This window comes from Homo sapiens, chromosome 6, assembly GCF_000001405.40.
Source record: "Homo sapiens chromosome 6, GRCh38.p14 Primary Assembly".
NCBI classification, from domain to species: domain Eukaryota; kingdom Metazoa; phylum Chordata; class Mammalia; order Primates; family Hominidae; genus Homo; species Homo sapiens.
This window is the reverse complement of record NC_000006.12, coordinates 3,296,490-3,323,117: the sequence shown is the minus strand read 5'-3', so window position 1 is coordinate 3,323,117 and position 26,628 is coordinate 3,296,490. Positions and strand designations below refer to the sequence as shown.

Here is a 26,628-nt window from a genome sequence, read left to right as displayed (position 1 = left end):
GGGGGAACACTAAACACACTGGTAAAGGGGGTTTGACCTGGGCAACTGGGTTTTTTAAAAAACTCTCCAGGGAATTTATGTTGAGTCAAGACTGGAAAACACTGCTCCACGGATAGAGAGATGTTGACCCTAAAAATGATACTTTTACCTTTTTATAAATGCTGTTTTTCATCCTTTCCCTTCCTTCCCATCCCTCTCCATGCTGATACTCTCACCTTACCCATAAGTAGATCATGGATGTGGCCCTGTATTGCTACTATTTAGTCAACAATGAAAACCAAATTTCTGGCCGTGCAGTCAGTCTTGTCCTTGCTTTAAGGGTTCACTGGAGCTGAGCTTCCTTTGCTCAGGTGCCCGGGAGGGAAGAAAGCACCTACCTTTTGGCTTAGTGGTACTGCCCCCCGCCCCTGCCCTGGTAGTAGATGTACTGCGAGGGTGCAGGTGCGGTTTCCCCGAGAGCCTGGTTCTTGCTCACTGTGTTATGAGGACCTCGGCAGCAGCAGGGGGCCAGCAATAGCAGATGGGAAAAGGCCACCTGCCAGAGAGGCCACTCAGCAGCCACCGCTGCCCGAACTGAGCTCCTCTCCTGGGGCCGCCTCCAGCTCTTGTCCCGAAGTTGGATGTCCAAACCCCTCCCGCAGCACAACCGTGTTCCAGGACAGCCCTTGTGCCCCAACAGGGCCTTAAGGAGCGGAGAATGAGCAATAGTTTCCCTGGAGAAGGATGGAGTGGGCAGCTCTCTTCCTTCTATCTCCTAAGGAAGTCTTTCTGCCCCCTCCCTTGTGGCAGCCTTCGCTGGGCTTAGCTGTTTCGGAGTTCAAGGGTGCTGATTTATCTCACAAATGCTTCTCTGTGCTTCCCACTGTACCAGGCACAGACGACAAGCACTTTGCAATAGTAAATGGTTCCACCCTCATATCTCAGCAGCCCATCCTATAGAGGACAGAACCGCGGTCCCCTGACCCCCGCTGACTCACGTCAGAGCCTGGACCTGAAGCGGCCAACTCTTGCCACACCTGGCTCCTGTCTTCCCCTGCCTGGCCCCTATTCCTTGTTTGCTCTTTAGAGATACAGTACTCCAAAGCGCCAAGTAGGCTGCCGGGCACCCTGGTACATGCAATAAATACTTGCTCATTAAAGGAAAACAAGCAACTTTCAATATTTTGCCACCAAAAGCTGGTCATGCTGGCTGGTGCTACAGCTCACCCCCTCTCCCCAGCAGGCCCCTGTCTTCCCTCAGCTTCCATCTCATGTCCCTACCCCAGCAGATTCTCTCTGCCACTTCCTCTGCTGCTGGCCTGCACCAGTGTTCTCTCCTAGGCTAGGAGAACAGGGCACAGCCTCTTGGCGACCCATACTCCTGAGAAGAGAGGTCAGACAGGGTTGTTTCCCTCACCCCAGGCTCTGCACCCACCTGTCCCAGGCAGGAGTGCACCTGACAAGGGAGAAGTGGCAGAGAAGGTCTTTCCAGAGCAACTCCAGTTATGCAGGGCTGACCCATGTGAGAAGGGCCGGGTTTTTGTTTTGTTTTTTTTTTAATTTTAGAAACATATTGAGGTTTAGTGATAGGCAAGGTAAGGCATTCATTTATTTAAAAATATTCTAAAACCTCAGGAAAATTCTTTGAAATATACAGTTTTAAAAACAAATTATACAGCTTTTGAAAAGACATCCAGGGACTTGCAGAAGTAAACGTGTGTGCATGTGTGTGCATGTATGTGTACGTGTGTGCATGTGTGTGCACGTGTGTGCATGAGGATGGCGGTCCCAAGGTGCTCTGCTTCCCGCTTACAGCTCCAGCTCTGCAGTCTGGGTAGAGCTGGCCTAGTGACTGGCTGTGCTGCCTCCAGCCTGCCTCACACCTCTCTGAGCCCGCGTTGTCTCATGTCTGTAAAAAGTGGGTCATAATAGTTCTTATTTCATGGGGTTGTTTTGAAGACTGAAATAACGCACGGAAAACATATGCATGGAGGGGCAGTCTGAAGGGAGGCTCGGACACAGAGCCTGGACCTCTGCCACTTAGTAGCTGTGTGACCCTGAGCAAGTCGCTTAATCTCTCTGTGCCTCAGGTTCACCAGCTGTGCGTCATTGTGGTCAATAATGGGGTTGGGAGGAATCAGTGAATTAATGTATGAGACATTTAGAACAGTGCCTGTCACCTAGTGCCATATGTATATTAACTGCCATGATAATCATAATTATTTACACATTTATATTACTATTAAGGTGCTTAGTACATGTCTGCTCTATAAGTACTCATGAATATTAAATATTAGTCACTGCTATTGTTATTATTGCATCCTCTTAATATATATATAGGAGTCTGGGTGTAATGGGGCAGGTTAAAAAGTGGGTGGTGAGAAATGTAAACCACCTTTGCCTACCAGCCTTGGAAGCCTCCACTAGAATTATTGGCTTTAAAAGCCAATAATTGCCTACCCTTTTTTATTGTCTTCCTCCCATCTGCTGCAGTGGGCTCTGTTGTTTGACAGGATTTGAAGTGGCCCGCTGTGGAGAGGGGGTGAGCTGTAGCACCAGCCAGCATGACCAGCTGTTGGTAGCAACATATTGAAAGTTGCTTGCTTTCCTTTAATGAGCAAGTATTTATTGCATGCACCAGGGTGCCCAGCAGCGTACTTGGTGCTTTGGAGTGCTGTATCTCTGAGGAGCAGACAGGGGAGCATGTACCTTAACAAGGACTGGAAACCAAGCTGCACGAGGCACGGTCCCCAAGGGGCGGCTTCTTGGGGTAGGGGCAGTAAAGACAAACGTGTGAGGACTGGCCAGAAGGGATCTTCTGGTCGAGATGGTAGACTGAACAGACAGGGACCCCTCCATACACACATATAAATGCTGGTTAAAATACAGCATTTTTTAGAAGTACGACACTGAGCTCCAGGGAAAGAAGGGGAAGTTCCCAGGTGTCAAACCAAGGAGGGAATCCCAGCAGGAGCAGACACAGAGGCAGCTCCCAGGGCATCTGAACCAGAGAGAAGCGTGAGGACTCTGGGTTTCAACACCTGCCCGGGGGCTAGAGCTGAGCTCCCAGGCCTCTGATGCCGTGAGAACTGAGCTCCTTCAGTCAAGCCAGGAGTCAAAACTGTCAATGGCCACAGGACTGGGAGATCTTTGCCTGCCACAGGGACTCAGCCCAGAGCTGGCGGACTGCCTTGGACCGTGGGCAGAAGAAGATTCACCCAAAGAAATTGGAGCCTTGAAGTCTGCACCACGCAGGACTGTGTGTTCCAAATTCCACCTGCTCCCTGAGGCTGAGATATCAATGTGAGAACCAGGGAAGCTCATTGGACCCCTCAGGGTCCAAAACACGGCCTCCCACAGAGGCATCCAGGACTCACACGGAAGAAAATTCTCTTTAAAGATGAGCTCACAGGCAAAGGTCACAGATCCACGGGGAATCCACTATGAGGGCCCAAACCTACAGACTGGGGAGTGTGCATCTCAGGAACTGTAGAAAATAGAAGAATCTGAAAGGGCAGTGAAGCGAGCTGGTATTTGTTAAGCAGCCACACTGCCTTATGCTGATGCTGTTGCTGGTCCAGGTATTCTAGATACATCTCCAGAGCAAGCTCCCGATCTCCTGAAAGCACATTGTGGGGCAGAGGCGGGTGGGAGCCTGAAGAACCCACACACACATGAGGAACATGCTTTTAAATAGTGCTACGTACCAAGTAGGGTGGTCAGGAGAGACCCCTCTGAGGGGCTGATGTTTGTGCTGAGGCCTAAATGTTCAGAAAGAGGAAGTCACACAAACTTCTGGGCGGAAAAGTGTTCTAGACAAAGGGGATCAGCCAAGGCAAAAGTTGGCTTCTGCTCGGCTTCTCCTGGAACCGGGAGAGGAAGGTCAGCAGGGCTGGAGCATGGTGGACAAGAGGGGACAGAAGTGACTTGGAAAGGCAGGTGGGGTCAGACCCTATGGGGTCTGAGGAGCACGGGCTTATTCTACAAAGGCATAAAGATGCACTGGAGGGTCTTAAGCAGGGGAATCCTGTGTCCCGGATTGTGCTCTGTGAGGACCCATCTGTCTGCTTCGTGGAGAAGGCGTAGAGCCGGGTGAGGGCCAGGACAGAGGCAGCGCACACACTGGGCTGTGTGACATCCTGGTGCCTGCACTGGGGAAGGCTGGGTGTCACCTGCAGAGGGCTGATTCGAGAGATGCTTTGAGAGTGGCCCTGGTGAGACTTGCTGATGGATCTGAGGTGACTCTCAAAGGTGAGAGAGGAGGCAGTGATGGCAGCTGGGTCTGTTTCCTGAGATGGGGAGGCCAGAGCTTTAAGAAACATGGAAGCTCAGGAGGGCTGGAGGCTGAAGTCCTGTCCTGCTATCCTACTGTGGTGGGTGACAGGATGAGGTGACCAGGAGACTTGACTGAGGCCGCAGCCTGTGTTAAGATGTGGGTTTTATTATTATCCAGGTATAGTGAGGTCAGCAGGCCAGGAGACAATTGCCATTGAAAGATCATTTATTACTCTCAGTTCCCAGGAGGAAGGGGTACATAGGACCACACAGGGCCTCCTGGGAAGCACTGGGGTGGGCCAGGAGGCACACAGGGAGGCAAAAACGTGGGCAGGAGCCTTTATTGCGGTTTCTGTGGGAGCAGCAGGTGAGGCAGGGTGTGCAGGATGAGTTTTGGCAGTTTGATCATTTCTGCAGCGCGTGGGCATAGGGCTGTCCCTAGGTGTCTGGAAGCTGGCCCCGGGGTGACTGGGGCAGGCGGATGGTGGCCCACGTGTGAGAGCCCGACACAGGAAGTGGTTGGGGTATCGGCTCTGGATGGGTTGGTTTGTGTGTGAAAAGTACACTTGCAGGTGAATCTTTTACTCTGTCTAGGAATTAGCGAACCCTGGGAGGAGCAGCCTCTCTGGAATCAGCAAGGCTCCAGATGTTAAAACATTAGGAAATACAGAAAATACAAAGGCTTGGTTAATAGGCAGCAGCCGCAGGGTTGCAGAGTTCTGGAATGAAGTGACCCCCAGGGTGGAGACGCTGGCCAGGAAAAGGTGGCAGCAGCATGATGCACCCAGAGACTGGACAGGGACTTGGCAGGGGGTGCAGTGAGCACAGGAGTCTCTGGTGATGCAAGGAAGATGGGACACATGAATGATTTATGCTCCAGCAAGTGGAGCCAAGATAGGCGAGCGATGTCATTGCACGAGCTGCCTGGGGATGCTTATAATATGTTGAGCCTTCTGGGCCATGGCAGGATCGGCTGGGCTTTAGGTGAAGGAAGAGCTGCGGCAGCTGGTGGCCAGAGAATGGGAGGGTGCGCTCGCCTGGTCCTCTCGTGTGGTTTGCAGAGTCAAACTTGAGCACTTAGTTGTGAAGCAGGAGCGGCAGAAGAAAGAGCCCTTGTGAGTGTTTTTCACCTGAAAGTAGACGCCGTCAAAGCGCTGGGTGATTGCACTGATGGACGCAGATGCCTGAAGAGAAATGCATCTTTAGTCATTTTGCTCAGGCATTGATTGTCACTCGGTAAAGAGCAGCAGGGATTTAGCGCTCATCTAGAAGGAAGTCATACCGACTGATCCTTCTTCCAGAAGAAACATGAAATCCTTCCAGGGTCACAGCCAACAACGAGGGGTTGGCGGGGAAGATGCAAGATCCAAACCACAAGAAGAAGGGAGTATCTAGGAGCATCTAGGAGGAATTCTGCTTAGATGCGCTAGGAAGATAGGTGGCAGGAGGTGCCAGAATGGAAGAGGGAGCTGGGTGCAAGAGCTGCTGCTCTGAAATTGTGCACACTGCGGAAAGGTGCCCCTTCCAGGTGGCCACAGCCTGCACTGGGCACATGGCTTAATGACAGAGCTCCTTCCTCAGCTGGGAGCCCTTGTGCAAGACACAGCCTGGTCTTGTGTTTGGAGGTCCAGGTCTACGTTACGTTAGAACATCCTAGAAAACCGCAGCATGGAAGATCAGGAAGGTAATACGTGGGACAGGGTGACATCAAGTTTCCTGCGCGGGAATTCACTATTGAGGAATGACAAGGGAGGGAGAAGGCTGTTGGAGAGGCTGCCATGTGGTGTTTATCTCAAGTGGCTTGGAAGAAGTCACAGGGAGTAAGGACTTCTGGAGATAGTGGAGATGTGAGCGCCACTCTCCCAAAACGTTGGTGCATGCCATCACCATTCCTCATCAGGTAAATTAAGGGTACTGAGTACACATGATCATTGATAACACAAAATTTGCAGCTGGGCATGGTGGCGCATGGCTGAGGCAGGAAGATCACGTGAGCACAGCAGTTCAAGATAAGCCTGGGCAACAAAGGGAGACCCCATCTCTACCAAAAATTTAAAAAATTAGCCACACATGGGAGCACGTGTCTGTATCCCAGCTACTGAGGAGGCTGAGGTGAGAGGATCACTTGAGCTCAGGAGTTCAAGGCTGCAGTGAACTATGATTGCACCACTTCACGGCAGCCTGGGTGACAGAGCAAGACCCTATCTCTTAAAAAACAACGTGCTCGTCTGCTCTAAGAGTAGGTGCAGAATTTTGATGCTAGTTCGACAAGCTCCCCAGTGAGGGCTCTCAGCCCAACATGTGAGTGCTTAAATGTTTTCTAGGGGTGGAGGTGTCATCGTAAGCAAGGCAGACAGTCCCGCCCTCATGGAACGGTGGGGCAAAGAAAGAAAACATTGCACTTGGACATCTTATGCCTCCCTGGTGGCAGACACATGGACTGTGACATTTGCTGATTGTGTCTTCACATTTTAGAAATGTGCTTTTCTTCACATCAGCTGCACGCTTCTTACGTGTGAAAACATATTAACCATAGTACTCTCGAATTCCTTAGCTCTTCCTGGATCCAAGGAACCAGAGGTTGGTGGAGTTGGTGGATTTATTCCTATTTGTAGGTGGGGGAACCAATAAATGAAAAAACCTTCACCAAATCACTCACAAATGTGGGAAAAGCATTCAAAACAGGTTTTCAAATGTCAGTGGTTCTCAAAGTGCAGTCCCTGGGCCAGCAGCATCAGCATCACTTGGGAACTTGCTAGAAATACGGATCTCAGGCCCAGCCCCCGCCCCAGGCCTGCTGAATAAAAACGCCTGTGGTGGGCCTGGCAGCGTGTGTTTTAAGAAGGCCTCCTGAGACGCCGCTGAGCCCTGCTGTTTGGGAAGCACACAGAGGACCTAACATACTTTGAAAAAGGATGATAAGAAGTTGCAAAAGAAGATCCTGTGAGTCAGCTGCATTGGACACACACTTTTCTTTTCTTTTCTTTTCTTTTTTTTTTTGAGACGGATTCTCACTCTGTCGCCCAGGCTGGAGTGCAGTGGCGTGATCTCAGCTCACTGCAAGCTCTGCCTCCTGGGTTCACGCCATTCTCCTGCCTCAGCCTCCTAAGTAGCTGGGACTACAGGTGCCCACCACCACGCCTGGCTAATTTTTTGTATTTTTAGGAGAGACGGGGTTTCACCATGTTAGCCAGGATGGTCTGGATCTCTGACCTAGTGATCCGCCTGCCTCGGCCTCCCAAAGTGCTGGGATTATATGTGTGAGCCACCATGCCCAGCCGAACACACACTTTTCTTACATGAAATAGGGTTCGAGACTGTGTAGTGAAATGAAACAGATGCCATCCTCGAAGGGCCTGTGAGATCTGATGGTCCTGTCCAGTTCCACGATGTGAACAGATAGCTTGACCATCTCGGACAGCAGAAGTCATCAGTATTCCTGGAAGCGATGAAAGCAAGTAAAACAAACTTGGTCCTGGCTCTACGCATTTCCTCTGTGCTGTGGGGACACGCACGCATTTGTGGAGTCTTCAGTCACGGCAGTGTTCCAGGTTCACGAGAAGGGAAGGCTTCCCCAGCCTGCTCCCCCGACCTCCCTGCAGGCACAGATGGGGCATCTTGCTGGCAAAGTGCTTTCCACACCCAATTCCATCCCTCCAACCCTGCAGGAAGTGAGTGTGTGCAGTTTTTTTTTTTGCACTTTTCCCCAAGACTTTTAATCAGGTGCACACCTAGTAGAAAAATATTCTCACCTCGAGCCCACCTAATGTGTGTGTTTTGCATGAAACGCCTAGAGATAGAAACGCAAAAGGCTGAATGTGTGAAGCTGGTGAATTAGAGGAAAGATCTGCTGGCAATCAGCATGATCATCAAAAGCATCTGGGAAAGCAATAAGACGATAATAAGCAGTATGGGAAATAAGGAGGAAATTAGAGAAGGATCACGCTGCACTGCATAACACTGGAGAGTAAGGAACAGAACCGATTCCCCACATGAGGAGGTAAACCCTAGCGCGGAGGACGTGAGATTGTGCTGCCGTAAAGGACACTGGCCCGGAGAAGACACTCCAGAGGCTGGCCGTGCAGAAACCCTTAGAAAAAAACAGACATGCTACAAGGAGTTTTATTTTTTTTAATTTCAAGAAGAAAGCTATTATAAAACATTTAAATGGCCTCAGGTTAAATAAATGCCTCATTTAAAAAAAAATTCCAATATGTAAATAGCCCTAATTTTTTGGCTCTTTAAAATATCATTAAAAATATTTTGGTCAGAGTAATACTGATTTTTAGCATCTCTTGAGGGTTTGTTTCTTAAACCCTGCTAAGCACTTTACATAACTTAGCTCCCTAAATCTTCCTGAAGACCCTGTGAGGTAGATACCGGGACGGCCTCCAGTGCAGATGAGGAAACTGAGGCACAGAGAGATGCGGTGTTGCTGACGCCCCATGGCTAGTAAGTGGGGCTGGGGTCTGGATTCCAGCAGGTGGACTCCAGAGCCACAGGGACTACCACCTCCTGCTCAGCCCAGTCATACATAATGAGCCCGGGGTTCTGTGGCCCAGGGACCTGGAATGCCGGGCAAGCGGAGGGCCCTGGGCTGCTGAGAGCAGCATTTACTTGGCAGAGCTACACTTCTGTCCTGGGAGGAATCCTCCATGCCCTCTTTTTTATGTAAGTACATTGTTTAACATTGACAAAAACAGTTCTTAAAATTATTGGGGTATCAGTACCTGCCCTGATAAGGGCTCAATAAAAATGGGTTAAGCTGATCAATTAAGTTTTCTTCTTGTTATCGTTGAAATGACTTTTAAAAGACCATTTAAGAATTTTTTTTGAGACAGAGTTCTGCTCTTATTGCGCAGGCTGGAGTGCAATGGCACAATCTCGGCTCACTACAACCTCCACCTCTTGGGTTCAAGCAATTCTCCTGCCTCAGCCTCCCCTGTAGCTGGGATTACAGGCATGCGCCACCATGCCCAGCTAATTCTGTAGAGACAGAGTTCTTCAGCAGAGACAGGGTTTCTCCATGTTTGTCAGGCTGGTCTCGAATCCCAGCCTCAGGTGATCCACCCACCTTGGCCTCCCAAAATGCTGGGATTACAAGCATGAGCCACCGCGCCCGGCCAAGAATTTTTATACATACATAATCCAGCAGGTATCAGCCTTTTTTCCTGCCCAAACACAAGAAAGAACAACTTGACAGACACAACAACTTCCTCTATTAAAACCAGTTTTATTCCAAAAGGGGGGCAAAATGCTGCATTATACAAAGAGACTCTATTACAGATAAAATAAGTGCTGTGGGTTCCCTACATGAGAGGAGGGAAACTGAATTCAGTTACAGCAACAATTAAGCATGCGGGAAAATGCTCTCCTCAAAGGAAAACGGAAGAGGTGCGTCATGAAAACCATGCAGTCTCCGGGAGCTTGAATCAATAGGCAATAATTATTTTTACAAGTTATCCAATAATCAATTTGAGAGATCAATAGGAAACATAAAAAAAATTTCTTGGTCAAATCTTTTCTGCCTACAAACTATCTAGATGGGAGATAGATGAGGTAATACTGACAAAAGGCAGATGTGGAAATAAAATGGTCACCCATATTTCAGTCATAAAAATGGAGCAATTAAAAGTGAGATTCAAATGTTTTCTGTAAGTGGGTATTCTGGGATTTGCTGATGGCATGGAAGTTTAGGGAGCCCTCAGACAACACTCCACAGAGATTGTGTAAGACAATAGGAACCTCTGCGTCAACACAAATGCCTGCAAGGAGAAGCGGAGAGACTCCTGCAAGGGGGAAGTGAGCACTGAGCCTCTGCTCTGGAGGCCAGTGTGGCTGTCCCGGGGGCCAGCCTTCGCCCTTCCTGTCCTCATGCTAAGATGTGCCCCAAGAGTCCATCTCACCACCCTGCTCCCACCGGGAAGCTGGGGTTGCTCCAGGCCAGTTTGAGATGCACTGCAGCTTTCAAACAGGCAGAGCGCAGGCAGCATGCATCTGTGTGTGCATGTGTGCACATGTACAGATGTGCACGTGTGTGCACTTTGTGGGGTGGTGGGCTGGGCTGTTGGCAACCGACAGAGACCAAGTGAGTGGGCCTCTGGTGACAGGTGTCCGGGGTCAGTTGCTAGGGTGTTGCCATTGCTGGCGTCTGGCAAACATCCACATGGTGGTTGGAATGAGGACAAGGGGACCCAGCCGCCCATCTGCTTGGCCCTAGGGACTCTGGCAGACCACATGGCCAGTACTAAAGAGTGGCAGTCCTGAGTGCGACCGGGACAGCCTCACTCAGCCATCAGAATTGGCTAAGGTGTCGCGACTTGTTTCATTAGGAGGTGAGTAGGAGGTGAGGCTGCTATCATAGAGGTGTGGATAAAATTCTGCTCAGGAGCAGAAGCGACAGAGTGCCCTTGTTCCTCTGCCTACTTACCTCCTCACACTGTTTTACAACATCAGACTTTTTAAAAGTCATTTGCCAAATTAATCCCCCTACCACGTTGTATTTCGAAGGCTCTGTGTGCCTTATATTTTCTGCAGCCTGATAATTGCTTCTACGGATAAATGAGTGAAAGGTGCAGACAGAGGGAGAAGGTTAACCCAGCCACATGGAAGGTTATAGATTGTAGGTGAACCTGCAACTGGACTCCAAGTATTCATCCGCTTATAATATGAATTAAGGGATGTTTTAAATGTATGCCAATTGTTATACATTTGGAGTTGGTTAATCATGAAAAGTCTGACTCCAAAGTTGTCTTAGGCACTGACTTCATTTGGTCTGGCAAAAACTTAAAGCAGCATAAGCTCATTTATTCAGTGCGTTGTCAGGAGCAGCATCTTCTTCACCTTCCGGAAGGAGGCAACAGTGAGCGTTAGCCCTGAGTCTAGATGGAGAGTGTTGAAGCCAGGCAAGACCTTGGTGCCGTTCCACAACCCGGTCTACAGATGTGGGGAAACTGAGGCCCAAAGGAATAAGGTGACTTGCCCAGGGCTACAAAATTGGCACACAAACCCAGGGCTCCCAAGAGATTTCCACCATAATTTTTCTAGAGCAGAATTTTGGAGCCTCAGTGTATATCACTTTGAAAGACAAAAGAGACACAAGGTTCTGAGCTTTTGTAACAGATAAATTAGCAGCATAGTCATTTAAATTATGAATGCACTTTTTCTCCCAAGAGATTTTCAAGGAATTCATTTGCCTTAGGAAAACCTTGGGGTCTAACCATCCTCAGAGCCAATCTTTATTCGATTTCATGATACTCATCCCATCTCTCTACAGTCTGAAGTTTAATGAAAGCCACCTTATTGTTTTAATACCAAACAGAACTAACGTTTAAAAAATCCAAGTGGAAGATTATGTACAGAATCCAAGCTTATATTTTGTGCAAAAGTTTTGAGCCAGAAACTAAAGATACTCCCCAAACTGGTACTTAATTCAACTTTAGCCTTTATTATTTTTTTAGAATCTCTTCAGAATCTCATAATACTCTGATACGTGGCAACACCCCAAAGCGTCAGTGGCTAGAATCACCCCTTTAGATCAGAAGCACCCTCACTGCAGCCTACAGCCCTTCTCACATCACTTTCAGGGAAACCTTATCTCCACGATGCCTTTTGAGATTCTCCTCCCTCCCCCAGTCCCTGCTCTGTGTCCCCCACTCTTTGATGGGAAGGCCTATTTGATAGAAGCTCCTCATTTATTAGGCATTTATTAATTTACACGTTTTTGCCCCAACTAGACAGTGAGCTCCTTGGGGCCCAGACACTGTGTGTGTTTCATCTCCAGGCCAGCCCGTCCACAGCAGGTGGATGGTGCCCAGTGCATGTTTAGCCCGTGAATGGCGTCACGTGGAACCACAGACAGGAAGGCACACCTGTCTGCACAGGTATCGCCCTGCAACTAAATATTTCGAAAAACAAATAAAGGAATGACTTGAGGGTAAAATTAATTTAATAAGCATGGGCAGTTCATCTTATTTCCTTCCTGTATTTTCTTTATGAGTAAATGTGCTAGTACAGTACGTTAAAGAGGGTAGACGTGCGTCTCATACAGTTGCCAAGCTGGCATTTCTTCACAGCAGGTGTTAAGTGAATTGGCAGGAAGGCAGCCAACATAGTACACTTGTCTATGTCAGTCTCCAACTGGATAGAGGAATAATTTATTTTATTTTTAGATGTCAAGGAAAAATGATCAACCTCGTAGGGTTTCACAGTATTGAGTTTTAATTACAGATTCTACTGAGCAATTACTCAGGTTACAGGGACTAAGATGTAAAACAGATCCATGAAATGTAAATCAGACGGGCTTGAGACTTAGCCAAATCCCCACTCCAGAAAAGAGGACAGAGATGGGAATGTGGACCACAAGCAACACACCACTGTTAAATCATCAGTTACCCTGCGGTGCATCAGGTGCTCCCTGGGAGACAGGGTGCTCGAGTGGGAGACAGGGTGCTTGAGTGGGAGACAGGGTGCTCGAGTGGGAGACAGGGTGCTCGAGTGGGAGACAGGGTGCTCCCTGGGAGACAGGGTGCTCGAGTGGGAGGCAGGGTGCTTGAGTGGGAGACAGGGTGCTCCCTGGGAGACAGGGTGCTCCAGTGGGAGACAGGGTGCTCCCTGGGAGACAGGGTGCTCCAGTGGGAGACAGGGTGCTCCCGCTTGAACTGCGTGCTGACACTCAGCTTTGAGGAGTGACAATGTGATGGTATTAAGAAAACACAGAGAAATTTTCCTGCCTTGATACAGTAACATTGTGTACATGATACCACTGGGGAAAAGTTCCACATAAATACATTTTCCATAGAAATCTCTAAGAACCAGCTCTTCTGCCTAGCTAATTTGGGTGGGACTCTTTGTAGAATACATTTTTCCTGCTGTAGAAGCAATACTGCAATCATGGTGTGATGTAGGAAAACTCCACAGGTTTAGGGGCCTTAAGTCCCAGGTTCCAGGCCTGCCTCTGCCATTCATGAAGCCCCAGGCAGGGTATTAGCATGGCCAGGCCTAGGTCACCTGCTGTGCAGTGAGGGGCTGGGTTAAGTGCAATCCGGAGATGCCCTTCTGACTGTAGTTCCGTTTTGTAATGTTGCCTGTCCCTGGTGAGTGATTGGAGAGCCATCCCTGTGGCAGCAGGTACTTCTGTGTGACCGTGGTGTAACCCTTCAGAAGCATGTGTGTGTGAAGCTCCTGTACCACCAAGGAGGCTGGAACGCCTGTGTGCAGCTGGCCCGCTGCCTCCTGCCACCTGCTCGTCAGCCCACAGTCCTTATTATGGTCAGGTGCCACCTGCTCGTCAGCCCACAGTCCTTATTATGGTCAGGTGCCACCTGCTTGTCAGCCCACAGTCCTTATTACGGTCAGGTGCCACCCTGCTCTGAGGCCTCTGCCCAGCGTTAGTGGCCTGGGGCTTTCTCAGCTAGGATTCAGTTGTCTGAAGACCCTGGGCGCGCCTCTGTGAAGCAAGTCTGTGTTTTCAGTGAGTGGACTGAGTTACCTCTGCATTTAATTAGAGACCCCTTTTACTTAATTTCGAATTCTTGGCTCTTTTCATGTTTATTTTGATTTTCATTTTGAGACAGGGTCTCACTCTGTTGCCCAGGCTAGAGTGCAGCGGCACGACCTTGGTCCACTGCAAACCTCCCGGGTTCAAGCGATTCTCCTGTCTCAGCCTCCTGAATAGCTGGGATTATAGGCAGCCGCCACCATGCTTGGCTAATTTTTGCGTTTTTAGTAGAGATGGGGGTTTCACCATGTTGGACAGGCTGGTCTCAAACTCCTGACCTCAAATGATCCACCCACCTCAGCCTCCCAAAGCGCCCAGCCCTCGGCTCTTTTTAAGATTAATTGAAGCCATGGGGTTAGGGACCTGCCGATCCACACTGTGGGTTGTTGGGGTTTTTTGGTTGGTTTGTTTGTTTGTTTTTTGAGACAGAGTCTCGCTCTGTCGCCCAGGCTGGAGTGCAGTGGCACAATCTCGGCTCACTGCAACCTCTGCCTCCCAGGTTCAAGTGATTCTCCTGCCTTAGACTCCTGAGTAGCTGGGATTACAGGCCTGCGCCACCATGCTTGGCTAATTTCTGTATTTTTAGTAGAGACGGGGTTTCACCATGTTGGTCAGGCTGGTCTTGAACTCCTTACCTCATGATCCACCCACCTCGACCTCCCAAAGTACTGGGATTACAGGTGTGAGCCACCACACCCGGCCCATGCTGTGGTTTTATGTTAGGTTTTATGTCCCAAGTACATGCTGGAAAATGGCATGGTTCACGTTTTTGTGAGGTTTGATCAACCCTGAGTTAGTGCCCTCCCCTCACAAGTAGGAATTAATGTGCTTTTATTCAAGACCTCAGGAGAAGAGCCACTGTCCACACCTGGGGGAACTGTCTCTGAGCACCAGGTGGGCAAATGTGTGCCAATCTAAAAGGAAGGGAATGTTTAGAGTGAGACTGGCATTTTTCACTGTGATGTGGGGGCAGTGTGTCATAGCAGAGGCGGCACCTGGAGATGCAGGTGCGTGTCAGCGCCCTGAATACGATTTGGAAGGACATGTGCCCACCCAGGGAGGGCTTAGCCCTGGAGGACGGGAGGGTGAGTGCAGGGGCACTGGGATTGGGGTGAGCGGTATGGGGGGGCTTTCGTCTTCTCTGTAATATTTTCTTTTAATTGTGGTAAAATACACGTAACATAAAATTTTCCACTGTAACCATTTTAAATTGTACAACTCAGTGACCACATCCACAACGCGATGTTGTGCAGCCATCTCCACCATCCATTTCTAGAATTTTTTCACCTTCCTCTATCCCAGGTCCTGGCAGCCCCCACTCTACTTGCTATGAATTTGACTCCTCTAGTGCCTGATGTGAGTGGAATGTCAAGGTGTTCCTCCCTCGGCAGCTGGCTTATTGCACAGAGTACGGTGTCCTCTAGGTTCTCCCATGCTGTAGCAGGTGTCAGATCCCTTCTGTTGAAGGCCAAATCATATTCCATTGTACAAATGGACCACATTTTGTTATCCATTCATCCATTGATGGAATCTGTAATATTTTAGTTTTTTAAGTAGAGAATGGGTTTATCTGTGCTTTGCTTAATTAATTCCATAGCCAAACCCGACCCTGGAATCCTCCACTGTAACTCACCGACAGTCACCGCTTCCAGCTGCTGTGGACAGTGTCACACCGGGGGCTGTCCCAGCAGGTGCTCAGCATGCACCTACCGTGGTGTGGTTCCTGAGCAGCTCTCGCTGATCCGAGATACGTCCATATTGGACGCCAGCAGGGCCTGGGCCTCAGTCTGCCGTCCAGCATATGACTATCCTGCAGTGGAACATCCGCAGGGCTCCGTGAGGAGGGACAAGTGAAGGCTAAAGGCACTGGTATCCCAGTTGGGTTCTGCCTGCATTGAGTTCAGGCCAGTTCAGGTATTATGGCCAGAATGCTTTGGGGGTTCCAGAATCATGAATGAAGATTGTGGACCTTCTAACCATCCTGAAGGGGTTTCTGAAAAGGGCTTGAGTCCAATCTGTCATTCACCTTCAGACGAGACCTCCACTAGATGTGTCATCAGGAGGAAAGAGCCCTCTCCACAGTCCCCAAGTTCTGCTGGAATGTGGGGGGTCAGAGCGTCGAGATGAACTGAGACCCGGAGCCAGTGAGGACACCTGCCTGGACATGCCACTGAGAGTGCAGGTTTTGTGCCTACCCTCAGCTTGTCAGTAACCAAGTGCCACCTGTGCATGTCGTAGCGCTGCCGTATGCCGTCTGCTCAGCATGTTCATGGCCCATCAGCAAACATCTGCTCTAAAATCCTCCAAGTTGGCAAGCATCCTACTTACCCTAGAGGAGGAATCCTTGTGCCCCTCCATTGCTGTATCCATACCGCGCTGCAGACGCTGACGCCTGCTTGGTGGGAAGGCAGCTATCTGCCTCCCTCTACCCCTGGGGCACTGCAGACACACACAGCCTGGCAGCACCTCTGCCTGCTCCTTCCTGGTCCTGGGTGACCTCAGCTTGAACATTCTGCTCTAGACAGCGTCCTTGTCCTGAACGGCTCTTTAGAAGCAAAGAGAAAAATACTCTCCACTCTGTATCCAGCAGGGCTCTCTGTCCTCTGCTTCTCTCCCCCCACCTGGGGTTTAGGTCTTGGAGGGTGAGTGGAGACTTGTAGTTCTGCCCACGTCCTTCCCACAGAAGCCCTGGGGATCAGTGAGCCAGCCAGCTTAGAGCAATCACTTGTTAGGTGTGAAGGCTGGGCTCCTTTAGGTCTTCCCAGCCTGACAGTCTCTCCAGTCAGCCTGTCTGGGTTTAAATCCCAGCTCTGCCATTGAATAGCTGTGTAATCCTGGGCAATGTATTTGAACGTTCTTTGCCTGAGTTTTCCCATCTGTAAAATGGGGATAATGATAGTACCACCACATAGTAAAGAATTAAATACTTACAGCTTTAGAAACTTCCTGTTCCACATCTGTGGTTTCAAGCAAGCCCTTTGCTGCATGAACCAAATTATTTTTCCCTTACCTGGGTGATAGAGTTTGCACATGAGTCCCTTCCAAATCACATGTTGAAATGTGACCCCCGGTGTTGGAGGTAGGGCCTGGTGGGAGGTGTTTGGGTCACGGGGGTGGACCCCTTGGGCTTGGTACGCTCCCCACGGTAATGAGTGAGCTCTCTCTATTAGGCCATTCAAGGGCTGGTTGTTTGAAAGAGCCTGTCACCTCCCCCTTCTATTGCCCCTTTTCTCACCCCGTGACATGCCAGCTCCCCTTGCCCTCCACCATGAGTAAAAGCTTCCTGAGGCCTCACCAGAAGGAGAGCAGATGTTGGTGCCATGCTTCCTGTATAGCCTGCAGAACTGTGAGCCAAATAAACCTCTTTTCTTCATAAATGACCCAGCCTCCAGAGCCTCCAGTGTTCCTTTATAGCAACACAGACAGACTAAGATAATGGGACTCCTCCAGTTTGCACCTCTCCTCTTGCACTGCCATCCTGGCCACAGCCACTCTGAGAGCCAACTTCAAGGCTTTCTCCCAGGGAAGCTGCTGTGGTTTTAATGCCTAGTTGTGTTTTACGGTTGCAGAAGTCATCCTCAAGGTCGCTTTTTGGCCGTCTACATGTGAGGATGCACCAGACAGATGAAGCTCCAGCTACCCACCGTGCTTCCTGATTTTTTGTTGAAAGTCATCAATTTCTCTGAGGCTCAGCTCTATTCCTCCCAAGTCCTGGGCCCTTGGCTGGCTTTTTAATTTGTGTGGCGTTATTACGTTATGTACTTGTCAGCAGAGATTTCATTAAGTTCCCATAATATGGCCACGCTGCACATTATCCAAACTAAAACAACCATCTCTGGGCTTGTTCAGAGGCTGACAGGCCAACGAATTCTTCATGATTTTGCAGCAAATTTAAATTCACGGAGCGCGTCATAAAACTTAAGTATTCCCTACACATACCCTTTGGGCTTGTGGCATTCCGCAATGCCTGAGGAAGCATCTCTGGAACACTGCTTCCCAACTTCAGTCACCGGAGTGCCGTCCAGGCAATATGGGTTTGCTGCTGTGCTGTGTCCACAGAGGTTAAGGGTGTGGGCTATCTCATCAGACTGCCTGGGTTCAGATCCCAGCTCTGCCATTAAATAGCTGTGTAATCCTGGGCAATGTACTTGAACTCTCTTGGCCTGAATTTTGCTATCTGTAAGATGGGGTTAATTATAGCGCCACTATATCATGGACTTGCAAGCATCACACACGGGGGACACTGGTGGGACAGTGTCTGTTGGTTGTAAATCCCGTCATGGGGAAGGTGGTGAGCAGTGCTACCCCCCAGTGGAGATGGTCATGTAGCTAAGGGGAGCCTGTCCCTTGTCTCGCGCCCAGATCTCCTGGGGAGTGCTGTCTTTACTTCAGTTCACTCCAGTCCCGTGGCTGCTGCTCATCAGAGCCCATAACACTCAGGATCTTCCACTCCCTGGGCCCTGCATCCCTCTCCTCTCCCTGCGTCTTCTCACCTCATTCCCAGCATTCGGGTTTATCAGCTTGCAGCTCTCTGAACACAACAAATGCACCGTCCCACAACCCCATGCCTTACCTCTGGGTCCTGCCCCACACACCTCCAGCAGTACGAGGGGATACAGGGCCTGCCCTGCAGCTGCTCATCTTCCAAGACGGTCCAAGCAGAGCCCGGCCTCTCCAGAGCCTCCCCTGACCAGCCCCTGGACCACCTGCCTGGGACTGCCCCCACTACAACCCACGCCATGCGGGCTTCTATCCAACTCGCTCAGTGGATTTGAGTGAGTAGTGACAAATCCATTTCAGATGGATTTGTAGTGACAATGCTCAGTATGTATTAGAAAAAAACAATTTGGAGACCCATCGAAAGCTTGGGCTCCCAAAGAGGCCCATACCCACTTCTTAAATCCTAAGGTCACACCACGCCTTTGTAAACAGTAATATCCTTGAAATCTTTTCTATGAGCTTTGCAATTCTCAGAGACTCTCTAGAAGGGGACTTGCTCATCATCACTTCTCATAAAGACATTTATTGGTTGTTGTCAGTTTTTAGGTATCCAAAGTGTGTTGCCTTTAGACCCAATTGGAGGATGACAAAGATGAGGGAGTGATCACTGAGGAGCAGGCAGAGTCTCAGAGCCCTGTCTGCCCTTGCACCACTGGGCTGCACACACACCCTCCTGCCTCAGGCTCTGGTCTGTGCCTGTGGCTTTGAAGTCTGGGACAAGGAGAGACTTTTCTCCTGAAGGGCAAGGGCTCCGTGGGCCCAGATAAGAAAGGGGAACAGCAGAATTGAATCCTCTCTGGGATCCAATGCCTGGACTGATGGAATTCCAGTAGCACCAATGTCTGCCTGGTATGCATAATGCAGGGCTTTATCTTTGTAACAGCATTTGTTAAATTAACACATCAGAATTGTACATATTTATGGGGTACATAGTGATGTTGTGCTACATTAAATGTATAGTGGTCACATAATAGCATGCAGCATATCCATTCTCTCAAACGTTTATCATTTCTTTGTGTTGGGAACATTCGATATTTGAAACTATATGATATATTATTAACTAGAGTCATCCTACAGTGCTCCAGAACACTAGAACATATTCCTCCTATCTCTTGTAATTTTGTATCCTTTAATCAATCTCTCCCTATTTCTCCCTTCCCCCTACCCTTCCTAGCCTCTAATATCCTCTGTTCTACTTTTCACTTCTATGAGATCATCTTTTTTTGAGCTTCCACATGAGTGAGAACATGCAGTGCTTAATTTTCTGTACCTGGCTTATTTCTCGTAACATAATGTCTTTCAGTTCCATCCATGATGCCACAAATGACAGGATTTCATTCTTTTTTACAGCTGAATAGTATTCCATTGTGTATATATACCACATTTTCTTTTTCCAGTCATCTGTGTTAGACACCTAGGTTGATCCCATATCTTAGCTTTTGCAAATAATGCTGCAATAAACTCAGGATGCAGATGTCTCTTTGACTGTTTTCCTTTCCTTTGGATAAACACCAGTAGTGGGATTGCTGGGTCATGAGGTAATTCTGTTTGTAGTTTTTTGAGGAACCTCTGTACTGTTCTCCATAGTTGATGTACTAGTTTACATTCCCACCAACATCATATAAGAGTTCCCTTTCTCCACATCCTTGCCAGCATTTTTGTGTGTGTGTCTTTTTGATAATAGCCATCCTAACTGAGGTGAGTTGATACCTCATTGTGGTTTTGATTTGTGTTTTCTGATGATTAGTGATGTTGAGCTTTTTTTAATATATGTTTGTTGGCCATTTGTGTCTTTTAAGAAATGTCTATTCAGATTATTGTCCATTTTAAAAATCAGGTTGTTTCTTTTTTTGCTGTTGAGGTGTTTGAGTTCCTCATATATTCTAGATGTTAATCCCCTGTCAGATGAATAGTTTGCAAAGACTTTCTCTCATTCTGTAGGTTGTCTTTTCAGTCTGTTGATTGTTTCCTTTGCTGTGCAGAAGGTTTTAGTTTCTCCAGGATCAGCTGTATGGTAGAACACAAAACAAGTCTCAAAAAATTTTTAAAAATCAAAATCATACCAAGTATCCTATCTGACCATAATGGACTAAAACTAGAAATCAGATAACAAGAGGAACATTCAAAACGTACAAATACATGGAAATTGAACAACATACTCATGAACAACCAATGGGTGAAGGAAGAAATTAAGAAGGAAACTAAAAAATTTCTTCATACAAATGAAAATAGAAACACAATATATTAAAACCTATGGGACACAGCAAAAGCAGTATTAACAGGCAAGTTTATAGCAACAAATGCCTACATCAAAAAACTAGAGCGATTTCATATAAACAACCCAATGATGTATTTCAAGATACTAGAAAAGCAAGAACAAGCCAAACTTAAAAGTAGTAGAAGGAAAGAAATAATAAAGATCAAAGCAATCATACATGAAATTGAGACTAACAAAACCATAGAGAAGATCAATGAAACAAAAAGTTGGTTTTTTGAAAAGATTTTAAAAATTCATAAACCATTAGGTAGACTAAGAAAAAGACAGAGAAGACCCAAATAAATAAAATCAGAAACAAAAAAAGACATCACAACAGATGCCACAGAAATACAAAGAATCATCAGAGACTACTATGAATACCTATATGCCAATAAATTCAAAAACCTAAAGGAAATGGATAAATTCCTGACACATACAACCTACCATGATTGAGCCAAGAGGAAATAGAAAGGCTGAACAGACCAATAACAAGTAATGAGATTGAATCAGTCATAAAAAGTCTTCCAAAAAAGAAAAGTCCAGGACCAGAGGGCTTCACTGCTGAATTCTACTGAAACTTTAAAAATGTAATACCAACTTTTTTCAAACTATTCCCCAAAAAAACGAAACAGAAGGAATTCTTCCAACTCGTTTTACAAGGGCTTTATCTTGAAGGCAAAATGGCACCACTCAAATGTCCATACTCAAATATGCCGCATTTTGGATTTTCCCTGGGCTGTCACCTCCTATCCTGGCTTCAAAACTGTGTATAGTGAGCACATCTCCGCGGTTCTCCCCACCCTGTGGGTAACACTTGAGGATAAATCAAGGAACAGGACTTGAGATTGCTGGGGCAATGAAAAAGTTATGTCCTCTTGTGGAAGCTCTGCCCTGCTCGTTCACACCACCTGCGCCCTCAGCCCTGGGCAGTGGCCCTTGGGGTACGTGGCCCTAGGGGTTGGAAGGTGGGGCTGCAGCTCCTCCTCTGCTGGGTCATCTGGGCCTTGTTCTTCATTTATGGTCTTGATTTTCAAAATCCATTTCCTGCCATGGAGTTCCGTAAGCGTTTGATATAAATAAATTTTAATTATTTTGAAAGGACACAAATTTCCACGTTGTATGCCGTATTTCAAAACTGTAGAGACTACCTGCGAAATCGCTTGCGCTGTCATATTACCGTATTTATATATATTCATATATTGTTTCTTAGATAAGCAAAAATTCTCATAGAAATCACAAAATATTTAGAATCAAATCACAAATGTATCTCAAATGATAATATCTAGATGAATTTTGAAGTCTTAAGTACACTTATGAGAAAATTAATAATAATGACCTCTATGTCTATCCTGAGAAATTAGAAAAAGATACTAAACCCAAACGCATCAGAAAGATGGAAATACTATAGATCAGAACTTAAACTATGGGGGGTGGCATTTGTGTTAGGTTGTTTTATTATAAAGAAAAGATCTGATTTTTAAAATACAGCAAAATGTGAATATATATAATATTAATGTCATGTATCTGTTTCTATTTCCTTGGATTATGTTATTCAAAATTAATTTTGTATAGCTAGAGGCCAGGAAAACAAACATTAACTTTGAGTATTTAAAAAAAATCAGTGCCTGCAAATGTATTTGGGACTTCCATGTGAGATGACCAGAGACCTTCTGTCCATTCCACACGGCCCTCCTGCATTCCACACACCTGCTCAGCAGGACAGCTTTTAGCTCTTCAAGAAGCTCCCAAGTCTTCCAGAGTGAGTTATCATTCAGATCAGACCATCCCAAAGGTACCACCGAATTCAGTGGGAACAACTTCATCATGTAAAACACAGTCACAAGCAAATAGAAATTTGGACTTTTTTCAAATAGGTATGAAGGAGGCAGTAATTATTAGATATCGATAGTGATGTGACTTTGAAATAAAAATTTTCTGCTTCTCACAGTCTGTTCCTGCTGCTACAACAAAATACCTTACCCTGGATGATTTATAAACAACAGAAATTTATTGCTCACAGTTCTGGAGGCTGAGAGGTCCAGGATTAAGGCACCAGCAGATTCTGTGTCTGGCAAGCGTGTGTTGCTCATAGATGGAGCCTTCTGTGTCCTCACATGAGGGAAGGGGCAAGGCACCTCTCTTCAGCCTCCCGTTCTCATGACTTAATCACCCCTAAAGGCCCTATCTCTTAATACTATCACATTGGGGTTTAGTTTCCAACATATGAATTTGGGCCAGGGTGAGGGAAACACCATTAATACTTTTTCTAGCTGCTAGATTCATTTTAAAACTCTCCTGAGTCCGGGCACGGTGGCTCATGCCTGTAATCCCAGCATTTTGGGAGGCCGAGGCAGGCGGATCACGAGGTCAGGCGTTCGAGACCAGCCTGACCAACATGGTGAAACCCCATCTGTACTAAAAATACAAAAATTAGCCAAGCATGGTGGTACATTCCTGTAATCCCAGCTACTAGGGAGGCTGAGGCAGGAGAATCGCTTGAACCCAGCAGGTGGAGGTTGCAGTGAGCTGAGATCACACCACTGCACTCCAGCCTGGGTGACAGAGCAAGACTCCATCTCAAAAAAAAAAAAAAAAAAAAAAAAAAAAAAGTCTATCCTGAGCTTGCAAAGCAGGTGTTCGGTACTTACAATAACTTCTTACCAGCATCAGTCGTGACTTTCCTGATACAATTTAACTAAAATAAAGTGGAGTGATAACTAGAACACTGAGGGCTACAAGAAGCTAGGACTGTCATCTTGAGCTTTGATTTCTACTTTTTGTCTCTCCCAAACAGTCAAGGGTCAGCTGCCTGTTTTGCAATAAAGTATTATTAGCCCATAGCCACACCCACTCCCATACATCCACACTCAGGCCACAAGGCCAAGATGAGGAGAGACCATTTCACCCTCAAAGTCTAAAATATTGATGACTTGGACTTTTGCAGAGATAGCGTGCCAACTCCTGCTCTGCGCAGTCACGGTGTTCTCTTTGAGCAGCTTGTAAATATTGTCATAAATGTAAATTTATAAAATTAATTGATAATAAAACACTAGTTTTTTTGTATTGGGGCTCCTCACAAGATTCCATCTTTTAAAAAAAGAAAAAGATTCTGTCGCTTTGGTAAAACTCGAAAACCACTGCGTTGTGGCATCGTCTGAGGGACAGTGACAGGCGGTTAGCAGTAACGTGGAAATAGCTCTGAAGGAAACCCCGGGACAGTGAGCCTTCAGGTTCCGAAACTGAAAATAACTGCAGGTTGGTCATATTTGGAAGTAATTTTTTAAACGTAAAATCATTCTATTACTATTTATTGTGACAAAATACAACAAAATCAGCAGGCTTCCGTGAATTGTTTCTCCATGCTTTAGAAATCTATGGTTACTTTGAAAGGTATACACTGATTTCTTGACACAGCTGGTAGAATGTTGTTCATATCCGCTACTCTGTTACATTTGTTAAATTATTTTTTTATTTTTGTAATTGACACATAGTAATCGTACATATTTATGGGGTACACAGTGATGGTGCAGTACATAGAATGTAAAATGATCAGATCAGGGTAATTAGCATGCCCATCATCGCAAATATCACTTTTTTGTGTGTTGGGAACATTTTTTTTTTTTTTTTTTGAGACGGAGTCTCGCTCTGTCGCCCAGGCCGGACTGCGGACTGCAGTGGCGCAATCTCGGCTCACTGCAAGCTCCGCTTCCCGGGTTCACACCATTCTCCTGCCTCAGCCTCCCGAGTAGCTGGGACTACAGGCGCCCGCCACTGCGCCCGGCTAATTTTTTGTATTTTTAGTAGAGACGGGGTTTCACCTTGTTAGCCAGGATGGTCTCGATCTCCTGACCTCATGATCCACCCGCCTCGGCCTCCCAAAGTGCTGGGATTACAGGCGTGAGCCACCGCGCCCGGCCGGGAACATTTAACATCCTCCTCCTAGCTATGTGAAACTGTATATTATTAGTAGCTATGGTCATCCTACAGTGGCGTAGAACATTAGAACTTGTTCCTCCTACCTAGCTATAATTTTGTATCCTTCAACCAACCTCTCCCTATCCCCAGTTTCCCCCCACCCTTCCCAGCCTCTAGTATCCTCTGTTCTTCTTTTTACTTCTATGAGATCACTTTTTTTTTAAGCTTCCATACGTGGGTGAGAACATGTGGTTAACTTTTGTTAAGCATTTTTAAGGTCTTGATTTTTACTCTTTGGAAAAGAAAACTGGGAACGTTTCAGTGCCCACAGTTTTATCTCCCCTGATTGGGCTGATGCGTGTCTGGAGACTGACCGCCACCTGCCTGGGAAGCTCCCGGGCCACACCTAAGCCACACTTCCCGGTGCCGTGCAGAATCGGAAGACATTCACTGATCCCCTTTGTGTCTTTAAAGGATATTCCCCGAGTCCCTCCGGTGGCTAATGGCCACCCAGCAGTTTGAGTCTGCAAAGAGGCTGATCCTCCACTTCACACAGAAGAATCGCATGAACCCTGAGGGCGACATCAAGGGTGTGATACCAGGTGAGCACACCGCGGGCTGGCAGGGCTCAGAGAGGCTCCACGGGGCAGGTCCCTGACACCTGGGCTGGTTTTGTTGCACAAACAGCTGTTTTAACCAGCTGTGCAATTCTCCTGTGACCTTTTGGCCTGCACAAGGGCAATGTGGCAACCTTGACATTCTCTCCATTTTCTAGGTGTTGGTTTCTTTCATGATCAAGTCCAGCACACTCTGGATCTGCTCATCTCCTGTCTAAATGCAGAAGCGAGCCATGAGCCCAATATACACTGCTCAAGGGAATATCTGGCTGTCTGGCCCATAGCCTACCTGCCTGCCAGGTCTAAACACTGCCAGAGCGCTGGCTCAGGGTGTAGATGGCCCCTGTGACCTCAGCTTTCCTGAGCATGACCTTCAGAGAGCCACCATTGTCTTTACCTGGCCATGACCTATTTGTTGGGCAGCTGAAGACAGGAAAGGTGAAGTGTTTTTGGATAGTCGTTCAGATCCATAGAATTCCTGCGTGTCAGGAGCGTTACCACAGCTAGGTGGGGGTTCTCAACCTGGGGATCCACGTATCACCAGGAGGTTGTTAAAATCCAGATTCCTGGGCCTCTCCCTGGCACCTGGAGATCCTGACCTGTTAGATTTGGGATAAGCCCTGAGAACTTGCATTTCTAATAAGCACTAGAAGAGATTCTGATGCAAGTGGTATACAGATTTCCGTTTGAAGATCACTGGTGGTCTCGGCCCAAGCTCTGACTCACTGCCCTCACTGAAGACCTGGGATAAATTGTTGCTATAAAATTCCCTGGGAAAATAACCTCCAGGCCATCGTCCAAGAGAGAATATGCTCATTTTCCCCCCTGACCAGAAATGCTTGTGATCATGATTCATTCAGTAAACCAACACGTGTTTACTAGATGCCTGCTGTGTTTCAGGCGCTATTCTAGAGCAGAGAAGACACAGGCAAAGCCTTGCTCTCACGTAACTTGCAGGCAGGTGGGGCACACAGACAGGGAAGTTACACGTGCATACGTCAGGAGGGATGAAACAGCAGGGCTGTGGGATAGAGGGTGGCAGGGAGGGACTACAGTCAGAGTGGCTGCGGAAGCTTTGCTCCAGGGGCACAGGTGCAGGGGCCTGAGTGAGGTGGGAGAATGTGCCCTGCAGGTATCCATTTACGATGGGAAGGGATGCACGGGAACCCCAAATCAGAGAAGCCCTTGGTACCTGGACAGGCCTCTCGTTAGACTCCCAGTTCAGAAGATCGGGGACACTAGGTCACTAGAAGCTCCTTGGTGCTGCCGTAGCTCAGCCAGGATGTCACCCTCTGCCTCAACTTGTGCAGGGCCGTGAGAGTCAGGTCACCCAGGCTGGACCACGTGCTGGGTGGGGTGGGGCCTACCCAGGGACGCCTGAAGCTTTTGCTTCGCTGGACAGAAGAAGGACATGAGCCAGGTCTGGTTGACATGAAGGGTGCTGAGTGCTGGTGCATCTGTGGTCCCTTTTTATCCAGGGACAGTGACGAGAAACACGATGACACTCACATGGCACTCACATTTCAGCTCCTTTTCTAAGTGATTTGCAAATATTAATTCATATTTAATATTTAGCCCCCAAGTGC

At 47.6% G+C, this 26,628-nt stretch overlaps 1 protein-coding gene across 15 annotated transcripts in view, besides 3 other annotated features; it reads left to right on the top strand.

Annotated features, from left to right (window-relative positions):
- Window positions 1-26,628, top strand: part of SLC22A23 (solute carrier family 22 member 23) — a 188,078-nt gene that overhangs the window by 133,933 nt on the left and 27,517 nt on the right. For all 15 annotated transcript variants that reach the window (NR_168069.1, NR_104448.2, NM_015482.2 and 12 more), the window contains one exon: window positions 24,900-25,027. Coding sequence is in view for 13 of the 15 variants with exons in the window: in NM_015482.2 (NP_056297.1) it covers window positions 24,900-25,027 (128 nt within the window). In the remaining 2 variants the exon portion in view is untranslated. The remainder of the gene's footprint in view (window positions 1-24,899; window positions 25,028-26,628) is intronic.
- Window positions 556-1,056: an enhancer, noted in NCBI's record as "H3K4me1 hESC enhancer chr6:3322296-3322796 (GRCh37/hg19 assembly coordinates)". NCBI's record gives its function as "activates a minimal SCP1, AML or CMV promoter by ChIP-STARR-seq in naive H9 embryonic stem cells {active_cell/tissue: H9 hESC(naive)}" and the evidence as "EXISTENCE:reporter gene assay evidence [ECO:0000049][PMID:30033119]".
- Window positions 12,277-13,126: an enhancer, noted in NCBI's record as "H3K4me1 hESC enhancer chr6:3310226-3311075 (GRCh37/hg19 assembly coordinates)". NCBI's record gives its function as "activates a minimal SCP1, AML or CMV promoter by ChIP-STARR-seq in naive H9 embryonic stem cells {active_cell/tissue: H9 hESC(naive)}" and the evidence as "EXISTENCE:reporter gene assay evidence [ECO:0000049][PMID:30033119]".
- Window positions 25,913-26,413: an enhancer, noted in NCBI's record as "H3K4me1 hESC enhancer chr6:3296939-3297439 (GRCh37/hg19 assembly coordinates)". NCBI's record gives its function as "activates a minimal SCP1, AML or CMV promoter by ChIP-STARR-seq in primed H9 embryonic stem cells {active_cell/tissue: H9 hESC(primed)}" and the evidence as "EXISTENCE:reporter gene assay evidence [ECO:0000049][PMID:30033119]".